At 55.1% G+C, this 17,877-nt stretch overlaps 1 protein-coding gene across 2 annotated transcripts in view, besides 2 other annotated features; it reads right to left on the bottom strand.

Moving 5' to 3' along the window:
* KLF13 (KLF transcription factor 13) overlaps positions 1-17,877 on the bottom strand; it is a 108,831-nt gene that overhangs the window by 79,850 nt on the left and 11,104 nt on the right. The window lies entirely within an intron of this gene.
* Positions 12,305-13,115: an enhancer, noted in NCBI's record as "H3K4me1 hESC enhancer chr15:31634904-31635714 (GRCh37/hg19 assembly coordinates)". NCBI's record gives its function as "activates a minimal SCP1, AML or CMV promoter by ChIP-STARR-seq in naive H9 embryonic stem cells {active_cell/tissue: H9 hESC(naive)}" and the evidence as "EXISTENCE:reporter gene assay evidence [ECO:0000049][PMID:30033119]".
* Positions 13,116-13,927: an enhancer, noted in NCBI's record as "H3K4me1 hESC enhancer chr15:31634092-31634903 (GRCh37/hg19 assembly coordinates)". NCBI's record gives its function as "activates a minimal SCP1, AML or CMV promoter by ChIP-STARR-seq in primed H9 embryonic stem cells {active_cell/tissue: H9 hESC(primed)}" and the evidence as "EXISTENCE:reporter gene assay evidence [ECO:0000049][PMID:30033119]".

Here is a 17,877-nt window from a genome sequence, read left to right as displayed (position 1 = left end):
ACAGCACTGGGAAAACCAAGCAGAAATGGCAACTATTGAGTCTAAGGGAAAGAAACACGTGTAATGTATGGGTCACCTGCAACTAGCATTTACTGTCATGATCCCCCAAAATACCGCATGCTGGCTCCATCCTAAATATCCAATTATCACATGGGTGGGAGAAGGGTGCCTGCAGGCGCTCATGTGCCATCATGGGAAGTCAGGAGATAATGCCTAACACTCTTCTACCATCAAGAAGAGCCCCTATGAGCACGTTATCGAGCTGGGAAAGGTAAATACCAAAGGCAGTAGCTGAAGAAGCTGGCAGATGGTGGGGGTGACCTGCTTATCACAATGAACGTACAGAAAGACAGGATCCTTAAGCTATGTGTATTACCACATGCACTACTCTAACACAATTTTTAACATAATTTACAAAATGGGATGGGTATACTGCTCTCGGCAGTCCAGCCTTTCCTTAGAGCATCACTTTCTTCTCCTAGTAGCTCCTCTTCAGAAGCCATTGGAGAGTGCTGGCCCTGCCATCTCCCCAAGGCATGTGGAGATGACACCCTGCCCTTCTGCTCAGGGGAGGTGAGGGACCGTCCACAGGAGACACTTACTGAGCACCTGGCCTCTTCCTCACCTATCTGTGTTACCTTAGTAGCACTGTTGATTGTTTCGGTTGTTGTTGCTTTTGATCTCATAAACACCTGTGTCCTGGTTGCCTTCTTTTTACCTATGACTAGTTATAACTCGAGGCTGAGGGATGGCGAGATGGGCTCCAACACTTCTTTAAATGGTGGCTCCAACCCCAAGCCCGGGGGTTTTAGGGCTGGATCCACACAATTCCCAATACCAAGTCATGTGGGGTGACTTCAGGCTTTGGATTTTTTGCTTCACACTTACTGTTAGCCCAGTATGAAAATTAGACGTATCAGGCTTTCATTTGAAGATGTAAGGCACTGAAATATTTATGGACAAATTGATATTGCATCTGGGATTTCCTTCAAAACAACTGGAGAGGACGGTGGTGGGGGAGGGGCAGAGATAAGACTGCAGGGGGCTAGCAGGTGCTGAAAATGTGGGTGTCCTGAAGATGTGGGCATCTGTCTGAAGTTCTCCAAACAGAAGTTTAAAAACTATTAATATGACCAGGTGCAGTGGCTCACGCCTGTAATCCCAGCACTTTGGGAGGCCAAGGTGGGCAGATCACTTGAAGTCAAGAGTTCAAGACCAGCCCGGCCAACATTTCGGTGAAACCCCATCTCTACTAAAAATACAAAAAATTAGCTGGGTGTGGTGGTGGGTGCCTGTAATCCCAGCTACTTGAGAGGCTGAGGCAGGAGAATTGCTTGAACGCGGGAGGCAGAGGTTGCAGTGAGCTGAGATCGCGCCATTGCACTCCAGCCTGGGCAACAGGAGTGTAACTCTGTCTCAAAAACAAAAACAAAAATTACAAAACTATTAATATATGGACAAGGATTGCAACCCTAGGCCCTGCCTGGAGGCCATTCCTCCTCGCTGGATTTCAGCCCATCCCTCCTCTGGCTCTCCCCAGGCCTGCTCACCAGCACACCACGGTTTGGGGTTTGGTCAGCTGCTTCTCTCCCTGCCCCAGGCAGGCAAAGTCCCATCCTGCAGGCCTGGGCTGATGTCCTGGACTGGACATTGCTGTCAGTCAACTGCAGCCTGACACTCACTGGGAGGGCAGAGCTGTGCCAGGCTCTGGGGCCAAGCTGGGTAGGGATTGGATAGGCCTGAGGCCTCCACACTGACGCTGTATCCAGGGCCTGGCTGTAGTCAAGTGCCACGTCTGACCCCACACTACAACCTGGGTCCTGGAGTCTGAAGGGCTCAGGGGAGTTAGGGACTCTCAGGGGTCTTCAAGCTAGGCAGGGCTGTGGGGGTGTACTTTTTCCCCAGAAGCAGCCTGGTTTCTGTTTAAAAGAAGGAACAGTGAAGTCCTCTTCTCCTCTGAGGCCCATGCCTGCAGTATAGAGTCCTCGGTGAGAGAGGGGAAGGGTGTGGGGGTTGCCTGCCGAGAGCCCCCTGCCCCAGGCTTGGCCACAGCGAGCCACTCCACAGCCCTGCCAGCTCACTGTTGGAACTCTGGCCACAGCCACCACAGCCCCCCTTCCCAGCAGCTATTCTTGGTCTGTGTCTCCCTTTGGGGGGAGGATAAGAGTGGAAATGATCAGAAGCTAAAATTAGCAAGAGGCAAACAATTGAGGCCAGGAATCTGAGGTCAGCTGAGGACAACAGCTTGTTCTCTGCAGCCCCGAAGTGGTTTTATAGCAATAAAGGGAATTGAAAATGAAAACAGATCTGGAAGCAGCCCAAGCCCTGGTGGGACCAGGCCCAACACAGCCAGCCCCAAGTGGGCAGGCCAGATGGCAGGGACTTTGCCAGCCCAGGCCCCCCAACCTGGGGCTCCCCTCTTCACAAGGGGGCCCTCTACAGCCAGGAGGCAACACCCAGAGCACCTGCAGCTACGGTTACAGAACGCCTGGGACAGGTTTCCCACGCACTTAACGTGGGCGTGACTTCCTCTCCAGGGGAGGCCCAGCACAGGCGGCTGTAAACACCCCCAGTAACTACTGGATGACCAGGGCCACAAGCCCCTGCTTTGATACCTCCAGGCACTCCCCCTTTAACAGGCCCCAGCAAAACTCCCTAAGTGACAGACCAGGAAATGAGGCCACAAAGTCAGATGTGGAGCCACCCTTGAGCCCAGCCCCCTGGCCCAGGGTCCCTTCCCTGTCACTACCTCTGCAGTCCCTCCTCCCCTGGAAGGCCCACCCAGAGCAAGCCGCACACTCCAAGGCGGCATCAACAGAGCCCACAGCCTAGGTGGGCTGCATGGTGGCTGCATACAGACGGGGAGGTGGGTCCAGCCTCGTCATGCTCCACGGTCAAGAAACTGCCCTCCCCACAAAAACTCCAAGTAGCCACCCTGGAGGTCCCAATGCCAGTGGGCTCTGGGTTCTATCTGGTGATGCTCAATCCTAAGGGAACTTGGCTCAGCCTAGGATGCATGGGATTAAATACAGCCTTTTATTAAGTTTTTATTCACTGATCTCTGCCACCTAACAGCTTGCAAATGTCAGAAGAAATAAATCAGCCCAGTGGTCATAATTCAGAGCTGGGAAGCACACAGGAGGCTGGAAATGCACAGACCGGGTTGGTAGACCCAGCCCTGAAGATACTGCTCCTGTCCCCAGGAGAGAGTACATGCTGACAGGCCCTTCCACGGGGCCAGCACAGGGCCAGGAGCCAGAGGCACACCAAGTGGCACCACATACAGACGCTAATCTCAGCAGCTGCTGAGGCTGCTGGCCGACGTCATGGCCCATGGAGAAGGCAGGCATGGAGCCCGTGGCCAGCCCACACCTGGGCCAGGCAGAGCTCACACAGCCTGTCCTTTCTCACTGGTACGGTCAGGTCTGTGCATTCTGAGCGGGACCAAGGGAGCCTGTAGGGCAGACACTGGGACTGAGGGAGGTAGAAACCCCTGAGCGTGGCCTGCAGCAGGCAAGCCTCTGCTGTGAGACAATCTCACCTTTCCCTGGACTGCAAGATCTCAGGACCCGGCATCCAAGGCTGGATCACAAAGCCTCCAAGATCTCAGTGTCCAGGGGAGGCCTATTCGGAACAGTCTGAAGCTCCCAGGTACGGGGCAGCGTGGCGACCCCTCTGTTGTGTAAACTCCAACAGTGACTTTTGTTCACTGCAAAACCCTTTTTTTGTTGTTGTGTGTAAACTCTACTTAAACAGTGACTTCTGTTCACTGCAAAACTCCCCCCGCCTCCCTTTTTTTTTTTTGACACGGAGTCTCACTCTGTTGCTCAGGCTGGAGTGCAGTGGCGTGATCTCAGCTCACTGCAACCTCCACCTCCTGGGTTCAAGCAATTCTCTGCCTCAGCCTCCTCAGTAGCTGGGATTACAGGCGTCCGCCACCACACCCAGCTAATTTTTGTATTTTTAGTAGAGACAGTGTTTCACCATGTTGGCCAGGCCAGTAGTCTTGAACTCCTGACCTCAAGATCTGCCCACCTCAGCCTCCCAAAGTGCTGGGATTATAGGCATGAGCCACCGCGCCCGGTGTGCAAAACCCTTTTAGACATCCAACAGCCACCCGCCCACTCTCCCTGCCAGGGTGCATACCTGGGCGCTCTCATGCCTTGCTTGCGGGTAGCACACTCATCCTTCCTTTCTGAAAAGAAGCAACCTGCCCTGAAAATGCACATTCCTTTGCAGGCTCCTGGGAACTCCCCCTGAAAATAATGAGGTGGACGGCTGTCCCAGGACAGCCAATCACTGGAGCTCTCAGTGCAAGACAAGCGCACACGGGGCAACCACTCAGACCAGGTTAGAAACCAGTCAGTGCCTTGGGGTTATGAGCCTAACAGGATGTTAAAGCAGGAAAATGTAGAACAGAAAATGACTTGTATGGAATGATCCCACGTTTTAACAGTGGTGACTTGTGAGTGGTGGGATTAAAGTTATTGATTTTCCTCTTCATTAATTTTCCTTGATACTTTCCTGTTTCTCAAATCATCCTTAATTAACATGCTTGACTTTCACAAATAGAAATAAAAACAAATGCCAGGCACTCAAATGATGATCTTTTGGCAAGGCAACTTCTTACAACAGGAACACACTTACAAATCTGACCCCAGCCCAGAGCACCAAAAGCAAGTCCATGATACGGGCTGAGAAAAGACTTTCCAACTCAGGTTTCCCAGGCCTTGGCCCAACTCAGAATCTGCGCCAGGTCCAGGGATGGTGGATTTGGGTCATTTTACAAAGCAAGTGGTTCCTGGAGACACTGGGGAACTCTTACTCGGATGTCCATCCACACACTCCCTCCCAGCCTCCCTGCTCTCGCTGTCATCATCATGTTCTTACACAAAGGCCATTAAACATTAGGCTCCTTACTTACTCAAAACTGCTGCTGCCCAGAAGGCGCCTGGGCGAAGAGTGCCAGGCCTGCATTCTGGCCTGGCCATGGGCGCACCTCAAGAGCCTGCTTAGCCTCACCTTCTCCACTGGCATGGCCACCTCTAAGGCCCTTCTCAAGGGCTGTACCCAGACCAAAGCTTCCTTGCGGATCCTTCAAGGTCTGAAAGCTGAGCCAAAGAGCCAGTGCTTGTGCAAGTCCCAGACTTCACCAAAAAAGGGGGTGAAGTTGGGCCAGAGACCACCTTACACGCCAAGCTACTTTCTCTAAATACCCAGTGGATGGAACAGGTACAAAGAACCAAGGCTTGGGTGTCATTTCCTTTATCCTGAACCCTGCAGGGGCATAATTTCCTACACTTCATATTTTAAGAGTTTGGTGAAGACGGAAGCAAAGTGGAGCATCCTTGCCCAGAACCACATAGACTCCCTCCTTTGAGATCTGTAATGAGATGAAGTTCACAGGTGTCCACCTGCTCAGCTGAGAGACCATTGTTCTCATTAGGCCCTGGCAGAAGAGAGCTAAGGCGAGGTTCCGAACAACGGACCAATGTGGTCGGCATCCAGGTGCCCTGCACGCTGGGGGGCCTGCTCGGCTCATCCCCTCCCTCCCCAATCCCAAAGCTTCATCCTTCTGTCCAGGATCCGTGGGTCCAGGATGCCCAATATCCTACCATAACTGCGGCAGACCCTGGCTGCTTCCTGCCCTGTAATGGGCATATTGGCTTAAAAGCAGGGGCCGCATGCTGTACTACTCTCCATGTCTGGAATGGCCGAGGGTTAGGGGCCATTTTCTCTAGGGCTTCACTCAATGGAGAAAAGCACATCATCTCATGAAATGGGATTCATCCCATGAAGCACAAATTCGGCAAAGGCTAGGCTACTCTGAGGACTTGGCAGCTTCAGCAACACTCTGAGTACTTTTGGTTCCGCCAAGAACACATGGCTGGTTACTTTATACCATTCAACTTCATGTGGAATTCCAGGGACATCTGAGCTCATCTGCTTTTCATTAATTCACACCCAAGTTCAAAGTGGCAGGAGGGGACCTGGAAGCTGTGAACCCCCTCCCCAGGAAGCCCTCCAGGCCCAGGAGAAACAGGCTTAAAGCAGCCTGAGGACCTGAAGCCCCCTGCTCCCAGCCTGGGTCACAGGCACAGGGGCACAGGCTTGGCCCATACTCGCCTCACATGGGCCCGGAGGACTTCTCCTGCAGACACCAGCCTAATTCCTCCCCACTGCATGCTAGGCACTAAGAACACAGCACTGCCCTTGCACTCATGCAGCCAGGGCAGTGAAGTATCAGAGGCAAGCTGACTAACCACAGGCTGGCACCAGCTGGAGCAGACTGGGTCCCAGAGACTCATGTTAAGGGTCAGTGCAGAACGAGGCAAGTGCCCTCCAGATCCCCAGGTCCTCGGCATGGTGGCTGTTCCATCGAAGACAGCGCTGCTGTACCACTACTGCCTGACAGGGCACCCGCCTCCCATGTGGCCCAGCGGGCATTGGTCCATCCCACACTCTGGGGAAACATGTCATAATCTGCACAGGTGGCGGCTCATGGGGAAAGCAGTGTCAGCCTCCCCTCCCTAAATGGGCAGCAGCAGCATTGCCCTGGGTCCTGGGATTCCCCCAGATGGAATGACAGTCACAGGCTTCGGCCCTACAAAGTTAAGGGGCAAAAAAGCTGCCATGAGTTGGGGGAGTAGGCCTGCAGAGGATACAGTACCCCACCCTACCTCGCCATCTGCCTTCCGTGGTTAGGCAAGAACGCTGGGCACTATAGGCTGAATGTTTGTGCCTCCTGAAAACCCATACCCTGAAGCCCTAACTCCCAGCTTGATGGATGGTCTTAGGAATTGGGGCCTCTGGAAGGTGATAATGTCATGAGGCTGTAGGGCCCTCCTTATGGGATTAGTACCCTTAGAAAGGAGACCCCAGAAAATCCCTTTGCTCCCTCTACTATGTGACATTATAGTAAGAAGACAGCTGTCTACGAACCAGGAAGAGGGTCCTCACCAGATACAGAATAATCTGCCAGCGCCTTAATCTTGGACTTCCAGCCTCCAGAACTATGAAAATAAACTTGTTGTTTATTTGCCACCCATCTCCAGTATTTCTGTTACAGCAGCACACTGAGCCTCCACCACAGCTCTGGGGCGGTGCTTAAACTCTACAATGCCAGCACCGAGACACCCCACTGGAGCCCAAGGCACTGCGGCCTGAGATGCAGTCAGGACCCCAGGGTCTAAAAAATGCGGACATCAGTGGCCAGAGCAGGCAGGCTGCCGTGACTGCAGGGTCACACCCTTGGCTGCCAGGAGGGGCTTCCTGGGCTCTATGCTGGCAGCTTTTCAGTGAGAACCAGGCCAAGCAACAGTCCTGTCTGGGAGGTAAAACTGTGGGTGCCACTTAATTTCTTCTTTTAGCTTTTCTGTACTTAAATGGTCTGTAGCACACGTATACTTCAATAAAAAGCATGTGGTGCGGCGTGCGTGTGTGCCTACGTACCACGCGTGGTTTTTCCTTTCGGAAGGCACTGGAGGCTGGGCTGACAGAGCCAGGCCCTCTGGGTTCTGCTGTCCCTTTAGTGCAAAACCAAGCTGAAGAGGGGCGCCTGTGCTCCTGCTCTCTCTTCTAGACATCACCTTCCACAGTCATCCTGACAAGAGTGGCAAGCTGCCTGTCCCAGCTCCACAGGCAATCCACGGGAGGAGGAGTGGCGTCCTTTCTTCCCACAAAGCCTGCGTGTTTTCCACTTTCCTCCACCAGCAAGAACACCTGGGGTTCGAGGCCTGCCTTCCGCCTTCAGAAATAAACCCCCCTGAAAGTGCAGGAAGAAGCCTCCACACTGAGGCAGACTCATGTGGAGTGGCCAAGAAGGCCAGGCTGGAGACACTGAAGCCTGAGATCTGGAACGCACTGAGAAGCGCAGCTCTCTTCCTCGTGTTAGGAGGGTGTCACCTTCAGGGGGTGTGGTCCAGGAGAAGCCAACAACACACCTTCCTGTTCCACCAGCGCTGCAGCCACTACAACAGAGGCAGCCCCCAACCCCTGCAGCCTATATGCTGCCCCAGGGCCCCAGAGGCTGGAGGGGGTGGAAGGGCAGACAGAAGAGGTTGGGGCCCCCTCAAGCTGCTGCCACAGGATGGCAGGATGGGAGCCTTTGGGCCCAGCCACTGTGACACCCACTTTTCCTTTAGCCATTTCTTGCCTTGGCTTCCCAAGTCACACTGCCCCGCCTCTCTCCCCTACTCTGAGGCTCCGCTGGCTTAGGGCCTGCCATAGGATGCCCTCGTCCCTCATGAGCAGCACCTCCAAGGCAGAGTCACCTCCTGGGCCCCACATCCTGCCTCTCTCATCACCACAGTCAAGGTGGGGCCCCTCCCCAGCCCAGCCCCCTGAGGGTGCCCTTTGACGCTAGCACACACAGGTTCTAGCGGGCTTGCCACCCACGTGCGGCAAAGCCTGGGTAGCTCTTCCCTGCCTCCAGTCTCCACTGCCCATCCCCAGCCCTGCCTCAGGGGGAAGCCTTGTTCACAGCTCCCCTTCCCCACCACGAGCACCAAGGACGGCCTCTTCCTGAGGTGTGCTGTCCCAGTGGGGCTCAGCAGAGAAGCTGGTCACCCAGCTCCCTCCAGGAGGTTCCCAGGCCCTGCCAAAGAAGCCTTTTTCTGGGAAGGCTGGTGCTACCAGCAGAGCAATGGAGGGGGGAACGCCTGCTGATCCCAGGAGGGTGTCCAAATCCTGAATTCCCTGCTTGACCTTCTAGCTTCACAGGTCCTCAAATCCTCCTACCTGCTGGGCTCGGTGTCGTGCCCTGTCACAGACCTGACCTTGTCCCAGCCCCGATGAGAGCCAGCAGGTAGGGGAACTGAGGTCCTCACCCATGCTTGCTACCACAGTCTGCTCCTGCCCCCAGACTCAGGACCCTACGCTGCCCCTCTCCCCTGCTGGCCCACCCAACCCACACGTCCAGTCTGCATCTCCCCAGACCCTCCCTGATGCCGCCAGCACAGAGGGGTGCAGAGTGGTGGCAGGCAGGAACCTGGCCTGCAGGCCAATAGCCCACCTATGGCCGGCAGGAGCCCTGGCCCCACCACCAAGTGCCTGGGATGTCCCTCGCTAGAAACTGAAAGATTTCGAGGCACAGGTGGTATTTTCATTTCTTCTTCCAGTTGAAGGTGATGCCTTTAAAAGAGAAAGAAAGATACGGAAGTGAAGGCTGCTGTGTGACACAGAAGTCAGCCTGGGGGGCCTGCAAGGAGGGGACGCCTCATGTCCTGAGAAAGCTGGGGCAGGGGGCAGCATGAGGCCTTGGGGCTCTGGCCTGGAAGCTCCTGCAGAGGAAGAAGAGAACCCGGGGAGGAGCTCCTGCCTGGCTGTGGCCTGGGGGCTTTCCACAGCTGTGTGGGTGGCCGCAGCTCCAGGGTGGCTGAATACTGGTAACAGCGGTGGGGGGTCCATCATACTCTTTACCAAAGGGTCAGGTTAGAGTGGACTAGTCCAGAAGGGGAAGGACAGCAGCTGCTATGCAGGAGCTCAGGCCTGTGGCCAGGGCAAAGGGCCGGTGTGGAAATCTCTCCTTCTGGCCTCAGAGAAAAGCAGAGGACAGGAGGTCGGGGGAGAAGGCTGTGAGTTTCAGAAAAACGAAGAGGTGCTTTCTGGAAGCCACAGATGGGTAATCTTCCCAGAAACAGAGTCAAGATCATTGACCTGGTGTTCTGTGCGGAACAGCTCTGGGTTCCCGTCAGGGTTCTCGGGGGCTCCTGAGAGATATGCCTGGGCCGTGGGCATCTCAGCGTGAGGCAGGCATCTGTACAGAGGGGCTCACGCATGCCTGAGCCAGATGCCGGCACAGAGGGGCACACTTGTGGAGCTGCACTCCCTCTGAGCTCAGATACTCTTCCTCTAGAACCAGAACCCCCATCAGTGCCTACAAACGGAACCCTCCGGGAAACAGAGACAACCAGGGGTGAGAGGTGGGGAGCAGTTGCAGCCCTCCCCAGAAGGTCATTTGCCCCCGGTAAACTGACGGTGCAAATATGACCTCGTGTGGCCCACAGCATCTGACGACTTTACACCAGGCTGGCAGGGCAGACACCCGGGTCAGAACTAAGCACACTAAGCCCTGGTGTGGTCAGTCTCAGGCTGCGGCCTCACAACCACAACAGCCAGGCAGGATGCTGCCCATGTAGGGCCACTGGAAGACAGTGAGTAGGGCAGGGTCCCCTGGTGAGGGGGATGGGGGCCAAAGGAACGGTACACCTCCCGGGCTTTCTCCGTCCCACCCTCATACTCACAGATTTCCTGTCAGTTTCAGGATGGGACCCTGCCACGCTCCTGGAGATCCCCTGCTGCTTGCTGCTAGGCACGCGGTGCTCACTCAAGGCAGGATCTGCCCGCACCCCAGTGCTCTCCAGGCAGGTGCCCGAATGGGAAAGAGGCAGGCCAGCGGTGCAGCAGGGCAAAGGCAGGCTGAGGCGGGGGCACAGGCCTCCAGGCCCCCAGAGCAGCACACAGGGTGGAGCCACAGGCCCTGCCCTCAGACACCACGCCCTCAAGGGACAGAAACACCAGCCAAAGCCAGGCCCCTCATGACACTCAGGCAATGAGTGAGGAATGCCCAAGTCCCCACTCCACCCCTGTCTGCTGGCACCCCACAATCCCAGCCCGATGCAGCACGCCTGCATGCCATCTGTCCTGCTCCTCTCCTGGCTCTGCCTGGGATCTCACAGCTGCCTCCTCCTGCCCAGCCCTATGGAACCCAGACCCAACCCCCACCTGCTCAAAGGCGGGGAGGCCAGGGTGGCACCCTCAGAAGGGCCAGGAGAGAACCCTGACCCACAGAGCCTGGAAGGCACCTGCCCCAAACTGCAACAGCTCACACTCCCTGGCCAGCCCCCAGGGTTGGCTTGCACCTAGACTGGCTGTCCTGGGCTGAACCCTGGAACCTTGGCCTGCTCCTGGTTACTTGCGGCCCCTCCCTCCCCACTCAGGCGGCTTCCTTGGGGGACCCAGGGAGGATCCCGCACAGCCTCAGGACAAAGTCAAAACCCCTCCCACCCTCATCCTGCCCCACCCAGCAATCCTCCCAGCTCTTTTCTGCACTGGATTCCAGGAGATTTTGTTAAAAGAAAGGTTCCATTAGGTTTAGAATAAAAATCTGTAAACCCAAGGACCAGAACTCCTTCTCCACATTCTTACAGCAAATTCTGTAATGGTCCCTTGGGGAAGCTCTCCCTCCCCACTGGCCCAAACCCCCACAGTCCAGAAGAGAAACAGGGCCCCTGGCCTGGCCCAGCCCAGTCTCAGCTCCTAAGCAGCAGGTGAACCCTTTCGCCATGGGCCAGCCATGACAGTAGGGTGAAGTCACCCCCAAAGGCCACCAGCCAAGGCACTGAGGAGCCAAGCTTGGCAAATGTCTGGGTGGCTGGGGATTCCTGGCACCCCTGCCACCTCCCCTGGAGCCCTTGCCAGCCAGACACATGAAAACGTCCAGCCATGGCGTGTTTTCAGAGCACGCCCTGGCTTAAAAGGCAGGTGAAGGAGGCCACTCTGCTGACACTCCTCCAGTCCTGCCACAAAGAGGGGAAAGCCTAGGTGCCCACTCCCCTCCTGACACAGGCTGGAGGGGTGGATCTGGGATGTCTGCATCTGCACAGAGATGGGTATGGGTGTGGGGAGAGCCCCACCTCTGGAGCTGGAGTGACAGGCTCAGGGTGGTGTGGGTGCGCAGCGCTAGCAGGAGGTAGCTGCTAAGTATTGGCAGGTGTTTGTCCCAGGGGGTTGGAAAACATCCCCCAGGGCCAAAGTCACCCCTGACAGCCAGGCCATTTGTGCACAGCAAGTATTTAGGGCAGCAACCAGGCATGGGCCACTTGCAATGCGTGGCTCTCCTGTCTCTGCTGCCGTCTCAGAGGGAGGGACACTGAACACATTATACAAAGACTGACAAGTGACCAGAAGTATGGGTGGGGACAGGAGATCAAGAGGTCTCCCAGGGAAGACTAAGGAGCAGGTTAATTCGTGCACCAGAGCCTCAGACCTCTCCAAGGAGACCTTCCCCATGGAGTCATGGTGACCCGCAGTCAGTGGGCACATCCCCACATCAGGACTCAGCCTGGCCCGAGGGCTGTGCGTGCTGTTGGAAAGCCAGAGCTGGCCAGCTCTTAACAACAACAGGCAGTTTAAGTAGAAAACTTTTCCAGGTCATTTCTTGAAGTTGGAAATCATCTCCTAACATGAAATCCAGTTCTTGCTCCTGCGGTTCAGGAGACTGACGGCATGGGTGGGCACACAGACTCTGCCAGGGCCCATCAGCACCCAGGCCACCTGTGGGTCCCCACTGGAGGCTGGATGCACCCCTCATGCCTCCTTGCCTTCTCCCTTCAGGTGAGCAGCCTGAAGGCTGGTCTCCTTCCCACTGCTGGGGGCCGACACCTGGTGGGAGGTGTGCAGACTTAAGACTGCAGGATGCTGTTTGGGAGGCTGTGTGCACCCAGCCTTGTCTGTGGGCACTGCATCCCGCCTTACGGCTGGGGGCAAGTCTGAAATCCCGAAGGCAACTGCCTCTGCAGAACATGCAAATGTGGCCACCCCAGACCTTGCTGCTGTTTCTCCCAGGATGGTGTCTGCTGCACACCTGAGCCGGCGGGCCCTGTGCAAGGGTGCAAGACAGTCCCCAGCTCAGGCGCCACTCTACACCCAGTCACTCAAAGCAGAAGAGAGAAGAGGCCACTCATGACCACAAGAGCAGAGCACGGAGACAGTATGTGCCTCGGCGTCCTCCTCTCCCCAAGCACAGGAGCCTGGCCAGCAGGGGGATGCGGAAACTCCATGGCCAGGAGTGGCCCCGACCCCCTCCAGCAAGCAGGCCCTGCCTGGGGAACAGGCACAAGTGTCCACGGAGCAATCAGACGCCGGGAGAGCGAGGAAGGCCATGCTCTCCTTAGTCACTCCAAATGTTCACCTCCGACCACAGGAAGCGCCTCTATACAACAAAATACACTCACAGGAAGACGGAAATAAAGCAGGAAAGGGGTGCGAAGGCCCAGCTCAGCAGCCAAGAGGCCAGCCTCAAGAAGGCCTCATGCTTCCCTTTAGGAAACAATCCTCATATTTGCAAACATAGAACTGCTGCCCCAAAAAAGAAAGAAAATAAAGAAAAAAATACATATATCCGCAGATGGCCCAAAGCTCATGAAGGCAATTACTCCTGTAAACAAGAAGTGGAATGCCTGTGGAAACGAGCGAAGCCCAGGCGAGACACAAAAATAGCAAACCTAAGTCCTGAGTGGGATTCTCCGGGCTGCTGATGGCTGAGATGCCGACCGCAGCGATGAGCTCGCCCCACTTGAAGGAGCTGTTATGAAGCGATCCAGTGAGGCAAGTTTTGCTGCAAACAGGATTTCTGTTCTCTACTAAAGAGCTGTCAGTTAAGAAACCTGTCATGGTGCCTGGGTCTCAGGAGGGAAGGCGGGGCACCCAGCAGGGCACTGCGTCCCTGGGAGGGCAGCCGGCATCCTCACCCAAGACTGCCCAGTGTGGGGAGTCTCACCCAGAGAATGCCTGGTCTCCGAAAGTCCTTTCCTTGGGGTGGGGTCACTCGGCAGGACTAGCATGGCCACCTGCAGGCACAATCTCTCCTGTCCCTGTAAGACTGCCCAAGACTACTGACACAGGGTGCAGGGCAACTTTCAAGCCCACCTCAGAGAGGTGGACTTGTCCAGAACTGTTCTGATGACTGGTGACTGAGTCTTTCACCTTGAGGTTGAGGTTTCAGTTCATCTACTTCTGCTAATTAAAGAGTCTAGCCAGGTACAGCCTGTTGGTACCTGAGAGGGGTTGGTTACCTGGTAACACGTGAGGCTCACCTGAGACAGGGTCACCACTCCCTAGTCTGAGCATGCCTGATGTCTAGCAACAGGGTCTCCATAGCAACAACAGGATGCTCACAGAAGCTCACAGGCTGTACCACTTTTCTGCAGCCAGTCTGGGTTTATCCAGGAGGATACAGACGCAGAAGCTGAGGCTGGATGCGCCTGGGGCTGGGATGCCAGGAGCATCACCCCACATGCTGTGTCACAGGGTGACTCTGGGAAGGGGGGCTCAGGTCAGGCTGTGAGGATCCTGGAAAGTGACCCAGCACCTGCTTTAAAACAGTAGTTCTGGGCTGGGTGTGGTGGCTCACACCTGGAGTCCCAGCACTTTGGCAGGCTGAGCTGTGAAGATAGTGTGAGCCCAGGAGTTTGAGGCTGTGGTGAGCCATGATCGCACCACTGCACTCCAGCCTGGGTGACAGACTGAGACCCAGCCTCAAAAAAAAAAAAAAAAAGTTCTGAATTGTCCCAGCCTCAAAAAAAAAAAAAAAGATTCTGAATTGTCTATGTGTCTGTTTCTTTTCAAAAGAGAAGACAGCAAACCTGTCTGTTCATTTAGGTACCCATGAACAATACTGCAGGGGGTGAAATTTTGCTCTTGCAAGTTAATCACCACTTACCCGACACACACACGTACACACACGTGAACACACACGCACACACACCCCTCCTACTGGGTGCCTCACCCACATTCTACCCCTCTGCTCCTAGAGGCAGCATGACCAGACCCACTTCACAGTGAAAACCCAGAGATGGGCTCAGCCTGTCCCACTCTGAGGCCAGGGCTCCTCATCACTACACCACAGTGCCTCTGTTTAGATAACAAAGAACCAACAGACAAGAAGGCCTTTCTCTGATGAAAAATAAAACACTGAGAGCCTCCCAAGGAAGGTCATGCAAATACAACATTTGTGGAGTCAAGCTTCCATGAGGCGATCCAATAAGAGAGACACAGCAATGTCTCGGGGCTCCAGGTCCAGAGCCCAAATTGTCAGGATGAACACAGGGCACAGGGGCGCTGGGTCTCCCGTGAAACTCCCAAGTGTGCTCATGTTTTGGACTCCTTTAACACTTTCCAATACTATTTCAATACCTTTGACTTGAGATTTTTTTCTTTTGTTTTTAAGATAGGATCTCCCCGTGTCGCCCAGGTTTGAGTGTAGTGGCAAGATCGTGGCTCACTGCAGCTGCCACCTCCTGGGCTCAAGTGATCCTCCTGCCTGCAGGCTCCTGAGCAGCTGGTACAGGTGTGTGCACCACCATGCCCAGTGGAGTCTCACTATGTTGCCCAAGCTGGTCTCGAACTTCTGGGCTCAAGCAATTCTCCTGCCTCAGCCTCCCAAAGTGCTGGGATTACAGGCATGAGCTACCATGCCCAGCACGAGTTTTTTCTTAAACACTAAAAAAGTATATTTTCCAGGAAAAAAAATCAAATTCTGCATACATCTTTGAAGGGGGTGATGTTAGCAGGACTGTTTCTGCTTTACAAACAGAGAAAGGATGACAAGAAAGGAACTGAGCACCCAGGTGAGGAGGGATGCTGGGGCCCTCACCACAGCCCTGTGCCACCCAACCGCAGGAGAGCTGCCTGTTCAACAGGGAAACCTGGAAAGGCCAGGAGGCTTGGGGTGTGCACAAGCAACACCAGGCACTCATTCCAAAACAAATGCAGCAAATCTGAACATCTTTTTTGGTGCTGAGCTCCCTTGGCAACTGCCACAGCTGCTGCTGCACAGAGAGGCTTTGTAGGCAGGTTCACGCCTGAGGTTGGCCATGAGGGCAGTGGAGAGAGGACCCACAAGGCAGCCCAGCCCAACTGGGTACATCCTCAGCCTGCCTCAGTCGTGAGAAGGGACCCAAATAGACCTGCAGGCCTACAACGAAGACGAGACCCTGGAAACAGGCCTAGAGGCAGAGAGGCTCACAGGACACACCACCCACCAGGGCAACCTGGGTCAGCCCTACTGACAGTAAAATAAACAAAGCCACTTCCCTGGATCCTCACCTGGCTCCTCCATGGGGCAGGTGACTCTTTACAAGATAATCCATGGGTGGGCAGAGCAGGGAAGCCCAGTGAAATCCAAGGTGAAGGGTCAGGCCTGCACGAGAGCCCGCTGCTGCATCTCCCACAGCAAAGTGCCACCTGGGGCACTCCCACGAGACAGCAGGCGGGGGGCGGGAGGACATCCACTGGGCGCAGCCAGCCCAGGCTACCTAGGTGAGCAGTTAGAATTTAACAGCAAACACCAACAAGGTATAAACAAGCACATGCCCTGACCTGCAGGGAGGGGGCCAGGCCTCTGGCGGGAGAGTGCAGCACTGGGTGGGAGGGCGCTCCTCGGGCTCAGTCAGACGCATCAGCCTTCAGACAGCTTCTGGAAGCACCAGTTGTGGGTATCTGAACCCCCCACAGGGGAGAGGCATCTCCCCAAAATTTTCCATGGAACTTAATTAGCCTCAAAGCCAATAAAATCCTCGTGTGGTGTCTACGTAAGCATGCCTGGTCCCTGGATCGTGGCCAGTGCTCTCCCAGCCTCCCGTGCCAGCTGTCGGCAGTGGGGGGTCCTCTGTGCTGCCCCCGCACTGCCTCACCAGGGCCTTGCCACCGTCTAAAAGAAAAGTCAATGAATCACTAAAACATTCCTCCTATAAAGGGAAGACAAATGTTTATTAAGAAATTATAGAAACCAGGTCAGACATTTTGGTATCTTAGTCATTCTTGCTAATTTAAAAAAAAAAAAATCAAAATAGAAACCCATCCTAGAAACTTGAGACAATGGGAACTTCTCTAGCCAGGAGCACTTGGAGCCATGGCACAGCCCAGTTGCCAAGGCAACCCAGTGTTTACCTCCAGTTCTGCTGTGTAGGAGGACCCTGACCATGAGCAGGGACAGTCAGCCAAGCCACCTCCTCCCAACACCCAAGGGACAGGCCGCCAGGGCATCCCCAGAGGGCGGAAGAAGGAAGCCACAGCCTCCCCCACAGTGTCTCCCAGGATGAGCAGCTACAGACAGCACAAAGAAGGGGTGCCTTCACCCTCCCTCCTCAGGCCCCCCTGGGGTCTGCTCCCCTGTATACCCACCTGCTGCTTGTCCTAAGGGCTGGAAACCCCTGAAGGCTGTTAAAGAAATGCTCAGATCCCACAGTACAAGGGGGAGTAGAGGAAGTGAGAATGGGGCCAGACTGAACCTCAGCTTGGCAGCCAAGGAGCTCAGTTCCCATCCATTAACCCGGCCAGGGCCAGGATCCCAGCAGGCTGCTGGCCCCCCTGGTTTGCAGAGGAGGAGCAGAGAGACCAGGGGGCAGAATGGCCCAAGATGGAGTACCTCATCAGGGACCAAGGGTACACACCCTCTGGCTTGGCTCCAGGGTCCCACCCTCCATCCTGAAGGCTGGTTCTGCCTACACAGCCACGGCTGGGCACGCACTGCTGCTTCCTACCCTGCTCTTGTAGAGACCGGCCTTTAAGTGATGCAGCCCCACTGGGGTTCATAGGGCTGGGAGAAACAAACATTGTGCTGCAGCCCGCACCACCTGGCCAGATGCCTCAAGACTGGGTTACTTCCAGTGGAACGATTGTTCTGAGACTTGGCTGCATGGCTGACCACGTGTGCATGCGCATATACAAGCACATACACACATGCTGCAAATACGGGCATATATACACACACACATACACATACACGTGCACACACTCACATAAATGTCCATCTTCCAAGGCCATGTGCAGTGCTAGATGTGCAAAGGAATTCAAACGCTTGGCTCATAATCCAGGGCAACTAGGAAGATCAGGGAAACAAACTTTGAAATTTCTCAAAGGCTAAAGTGAGTGAACTTAAGAATGATACAATTTGTCCAAAGCAAACTGCTGAAGTGTACTACCCAGCCCATCATTAGGGAAACTTCAAATCACAAGCTATAAGTAGCCAAGGCTGTATTTCCTGTAAGACTCTAAAGCCTGACAGTAATTCAGGAAAACCACCTACCTGCTCGCCAACACAGCAGCTCTACACCTGTGACAGTAGACACTGACAGGCTCCTGCTCTGTCAGCCG

This window comes from Homo sapiens, chromosome 15 (assembly GCF_000001405.40).
Source record: "Homo sapiens chromosome 15, GRCh38.p14 Primary Assembly".
Lineage (NCBI taxonomy): Eukaryota > Metazoa > Chordata > Mammalia > Primates > Hominidae > Homo > Homo sapiens.
This window is presented reverse-complemented; position numbering and strand designations above follow the sequence as displayed.